Here is a 6,000-nt window from a genome sequence, read left to right as displayed (position 1 = left end):
GGCTTTAATCTGTTCTCCTTAGTTCCCTCATCACACCATGGTACATCCTTCTATCCCAGCATTAACACAGTGATTGCTAAACATCAACTGGCACATCTAGCTCCCTCATTATATTCTGAATTCTTTGGGGGCAGAGTCTTCAAGTTGATCGTTGTGACCCTGCAGGGCAAAAAATAAACCCTCAATAAATGCTTGCCGAATGTTTGAATGAATGAACCAATAAATGAATTTAATTTTCCACATACCTTTTTCTCTTTAATCCAAACTTTACAATAGCCTAGTATGATGTAAATAATAATTCACTTATATATTTATTTTATGTATTCATCATATAAATTTACATATACTTTTCCAAATACTGTATACACATCACATTTGTATTTGCAAATATGCAAATATTATGGAAACATTCTTATTTCCAAATATTGCAAAATCTGGAGTTTCCGGAGATTTCACAGGGCCAGAAGTTAAAACCATAAATTTAAATTCCTTATTTTTTCTCCTAGAGCTGGAACCTGATTGTTGACCTTATCTTTGAACTGCTAGCCAACTGATCTGGATTACAAAGATCATGTATGTCAAGCCACATGTTCGTCTCTAATATGTGGTATAAAGAAATAGGGAAGGACATGTGGTCACAGAGTTCTTTGATGGTGATGGGGGTGGGAAGGGTTGAAGCATTTGTGTTTTTCATAGTTAGAATCCAGAAAGTTCTGAAATGAACAAAAAATAAATTTGTTTTAGCAGCTTCTCCGCTGGGGTAAGGAATGCTGATTCTTAAAAGAACTTGGGAGAGAATGTTTTGGTGAACTTGTATACTGTACCATAAATATTTTTGCTAAAATTATAGAATTGTCTGTTTCCTTTCAAATTGCATCAGGATCCAGGCAAGACCAATGAGTTTTTAATGTGGAAATTTCATGCACACGTTTCAGCTTCTTCCTTTTCTTTTTCAACTTTGCCAAGTTGTTTTATGTTTAGTAAAGACTGATTTATCAGTGCTTTTTTGGCCTACCTGATGTGTTATGCAACTCTTTACCAAATTCAGGGATACAACCATCAGTTTGCAAGCTTGCTTTGTTGTAGCCCAAAAGAGCTTTAATAGATTCGGGCTGATTTATTTACCATGCTGAACAATTTTTGCATAGCCTAAAGCCTGATTCTTCTCTTCCATTTCTTCTTTGAAATTACAGAAAAAATTAATGAGACACAGTCACAGTCTGACTTGTTCTGTTCCTCAGGGTGCAGAATAAACAGATTCTGATCTGCTGCTGTTTGGAAACTGCAAAATGATAGAAATTCCTATTTTGGGTGACTGGAGAGGGGAAGCTCTTGAAGCATGATTTTTTTTTTTTTCTTTCCAGTAAAGTGTGAGTAAGACAGAAAAGAGAACACAGCAGAACAATCTGCAAAAAGTAAATATATTCCTCTTTGGTAACCGTAAATAGCAGAGGAAGATGTTGAGAGGCACTGGTGCTTTTAAGTGGAAGGCACTGCAACCAGGGTCACTATGCCTGGCTTCCACACGGTGGTATACCTTCTGTGGAGAGACTTCAGATGTGGTTTCAATTCTGATGAAGGTAGCTGACAAGAATGCTTGTTGGGTCAACATCTCAGTGATGTATCTATCCTCTTCTTCTCTCTGAGCATTGCCAAGAATAGGATCCAGGTCAGCACTGGAGAAAGCGTTTGCTCCAAGTTCTCATCAAACAGAATTTCCACTTGTTCTCCAAACAATAAATCCTGAAAGGAACATCTCGCATGCACTTTAGTTTACTGAGATGACTGTTCAGCGGCACACATCGTTGCCTGGCATCATTGCAACATGAGCTATATTTATAATCCAATGTTTCATCTAATGTTCAATAGCACATGGTGAGTCAAGAACCTCCTAATGTTAGTGAGAAGAAATATAAAGTTATAAACCCAGACTAATAAATAAGGCATCATTTTGGGGGTGTTATGGGCTGAATTGTGTCCCTGCAAAATTCCTATGTTGAAGTCCTAATTCTCAATATCTCGGAAGGTAACTATATTTGGAGGCAGAGTCTTGAAATAGGTAATCAAGGTTAAATGAGGTCGTTAGCGTGGGCACTAATCTATTATGATTGGTATCTTTATTAGAAGAGAGATGAGGACGCAGAAAATACAGGTGAAGGGACAACTATGTGAGGACACAATGAGAAGATGGCCATCTTCTAGCCATGGCAAGAGGCCTCAGAAGAAGCTGACCCTATGACACCTCAGTCTCAGACATCTAGCCTCCAGAATTCAGAGGAAATTAATTTCTGCTCCTTAAACCACCCAGTCTGTAGTAGTTTGTTATCCCAGTCCTAGCAAACTGATATGGGAAGTAAGTCTTCTAGTGAAGTTACCTTCCTCAGGCAAAATTACTTGTTCTGTGTGAGATTCCAGTTAGATCTCATCGTGCCATGTGGCTTTAGTTTTTCCTATAGTTGCCATTTATTTGTTTAAGTGACTTGACGCATATGATTTTCCTTGACTTTCTGCTGTTTGTCCTGGCATCAAGAAGACTGCATACTGACTCTTCAATGGGTAGAAGAAAGCATTCACAAGCCAGCCATGGTGGCTCATGTCTGTAATCTCAGCACTTTGTGAAGCCGAGGTGGGTGGATGCATTGAGCCAGGGAGATGGAGGTTGCAGTGAGCCAAGATCATGCCAGCCTGGGCTATGGGCCTGGCTAAGGGGGGTGGGGGGAGAGGAGAGAGAGAGAGAGGGAGAGAGAGAGAGGGGGGAAGGAAGGAAGAAAGGAAGGAAGGAAGGAGAGAGAAAGAAAAGGAAGGAAGGAAGGAAATGAAAGGAAAGAAAGAAAGAAAGAAAGAAAGAAAGAAAGAAAGAAAGAAAGAAAGAAAGAAAGAAAGAAAAAAGAAAGAAAGAAAGAAAGAAAGAAAGAAAGAAAGGCAGGAAGGCGGCAGGCAGGAAGGCAGGAAGGGAGGAAGGAAGAAGGGAAGAAAGGAAGAAAGGGAGAAAGAGAAAGAAAGAATTAACAAAAAGATCCACAGGACAATTTTCTTAGAGGGGATTATATTGATGAAAATAATACCAATTCAGGTGGAAAATAACCATTGTTTTAGGACCTACATGGATATGCTAAATCATATTACCTAAGACCCCATGCTCCTAAAAGAAGATGGCTACTTGTCCTATAGTGGAAAAAGCAATAAACTGGAAGTAAGTAGCTTACGTGAAATTTCTTTAACTCTCTGAAGTACCATACAAATGCAGCTCACTCTTTCCCATGGGAGTCTGTGCATTGACCTTGGGATGTAAGTGGGATTTGCTTTATTATTTTCTTCTTCTTTTTTTTTTTTTTTTTTTTTTTTTTTTTTTTTTTTTGAGACGGAGTCTCGCTCTGTCGCCCAGGCTGGAGTGCAGTGGCGCAGTCTCGGCTCACTGCAACCTCTGCTTCCCAGGTTCAAGCAATTCTCCTGTCTCAGCCTCCCAAGTAGCTGGGATTACAGGTGCACGATGCAATACCTGGCTAATTTTTTGTATTTTAGTGGAGACAGGGTTTCACCGTGTTGCCCAGCCAAGGAGACAACAATTTTAAGTATTTAAGGGATTTGTAAACTAAGTACAGTCATGCATTGCTTAATGACAAAGATGCATTCTGAGAAATGCATTGTTAGGTGATTTTATCGTTGTGTGAACATCATAGAGTGTACTTACACAAATCTGTATGTCATAACCTCCTACACACCTAGGCTGTATAGTATGGCCTGTTGCTTTTAGCTTACAAATGGTAATCAGCATTCAGCATGTTACTGTACTGAATACTGTAGGCAATTGTAATACAATGGCAACTATTTATGTATGTAAACAGAGAAAAATTAGAGTAGAAGTATGGCATTATAATCTTATGGAACTTCATTGTATATGTGGTTTGTGGTTGACTGAAATGTTATGTGACACATGACTGTTTTTGAACCTCAGACTCAGGTCTTCTGACTTGAAGGTATATACATTTCCCATCTCTCCACAATAACTCTGTACATTCAGTATATTCAGTGGGGGAAATGCATTAAAAGCACATAGCATATGCCTATCATATAGTAAATGATCAGTAATATTAGGTGAAATTAATATCGTTATTATAGTAAAAGTTTCAATTAATAAGCCAGATATTTGCTAAGCATTAGTCAGCCTTAGTTCATTTATTACTTAATGAGGGGTCTTAATTCTTTTGTTAGATAGTCTTGATAAAAATATTAGAAAAATACACTCACCTATTTTATTGGAGTACAATATCATATGAGTAATTTTTATTTTATTACATTCATTAGTTATAATTCAATTTATAAATCTGCACAGTAAAATATGTCATTATGGAAAAGTATGAGGTGGTTTGAACCTCTTGTGACTAAGAGTTCTATCTGAAATAAGTAGTTTGATTTAAAAAAATAGCAAATATTCTGTAGGCACTGTGTAACCAATGAAATTTGAGGGGATTAATTTTTTTTACATTTAATGAGCATGTATTAGGATCTTATTATGTGCCCCAACCTATAATAGGCATTAGAAAATTGCATAAAAATAATATTTGAGGAAGGTGAATGTGGAGCAATGAGAAATATACATGGAAGGAAAAGATAAAAAGAAATCATTATGAGGTGTCATCTCATTCACGTTTAACATTAGTGTGGTCATAAAATAGCTAACATTTTGCCAATTACCTATGAAGCATCACAAACAAAGGTTATTATGAAAAGACCTAAAATTTTGGTATATAGCAAAAATATTACAAGATCATACAAAAGCATTGTTTAACAGCTTGCTTAAGGGTTATCTGATATTCCAGGGAATATACATGTGCTTGACTTACTCTTTGTTACTGCTTATGTTCTGCATTCTGTAATGTCAAATGTCAACTTGTAAAGAATTGAAAAGATGCAAATATTTTTGTTCTGTAGTCCAGATAGCCTCGAATGCTACCGTTTTCTTCCCCTTTACGATAATCAGTTCTGTATCTAATGTTGCCATCTTACTGCAGCCTCTTTTTCCTCCACTAGTAATATATTTGACAATGTCTCACAGTCTCATTTGAATGAGCATATCATTCCACTGGTTCCCTTATTAGTGATCTAAAGAGACCTAACATTGCTCACTGTTATGCTCTGTTGGACGAGAGCCATGTTTTTAACATTTCGAAAATTATACTTTGTAAATATATATTAGCCTTTCGGAAACTGACTCTACTGATAAATATAATAGCCCCTTTTGTACAGCTTTGGTGAACGTAAAGCAAATCATCTGAAGTCACAAAATTAGGTGACTTAATGGAATATTATAGTACATATCTTTTATTTTTCTCTGCCCAAAGGTGATTATTCTCCCTCCTTGATTTTCCTATGGGGAACCTCTTTCAACCACTTTGATTTATACTGTTTGGAAGAGGCTAACCCTATGCTGCACCTTTCTCCTTAGCCACTAAGGGCTTTACTGCCCAAATTACAACGTTCGAGCATTGCTATGAATGAAGAACAATCTCAGTGTTTATCTCCATGCCAAGTGTCTTCTAGTTACTTTAGAAGGAACGCAAAAGATAGAGCACATGTGTAGTTGAAAACTCTGTGAAAGAATACCAAAATCTAGGACAAGAGTGCTATTCATAGATGTTCTCAAAGCTTCAGTTCTTATCAAGCTGCAAGATACTGGGTTGCAACAACTCTGCCTATATATGCTTGTTTATACCAATTGTGAACAACTCCTTCATTTCCTGGTTTTCACTGCCTGTACCATAGAAGCCTAAGTCCTACTCAATAGAACAGACAGTATAGAACAGTTCCCCTCCTACCACCATCACTATGATTCTCCTGTTTGCCTGAAAGCTTACCCAAACCAGAACCTCTTCCTCTTAACCCATTACTAAGCAAAAGACAGACAGACAACAACTCTCTTTAACTGAAATAGTCCCTATTAGTTCTGGCCTGCAAAATATGCCTTTATGATAATCAAGTGAAATAAGAAATGAGCTATCA

This window comes from Homo sapiens, chromosome 17, assembly GCF_000001405.40.
Source record: "Homo sapiens chromosome 17, GRCh38.p14 Primary Assembly".
In the NCBI taxonomy this organism is placed as follows: domain Eukaryota; kingdom Metazoa; phylum Chordata; class Mammalia; order Primates; family Hominidae; genus Homo; species Homo sapiens.
Note: the sequence above shows the minus strand (reverse complement) of the source record.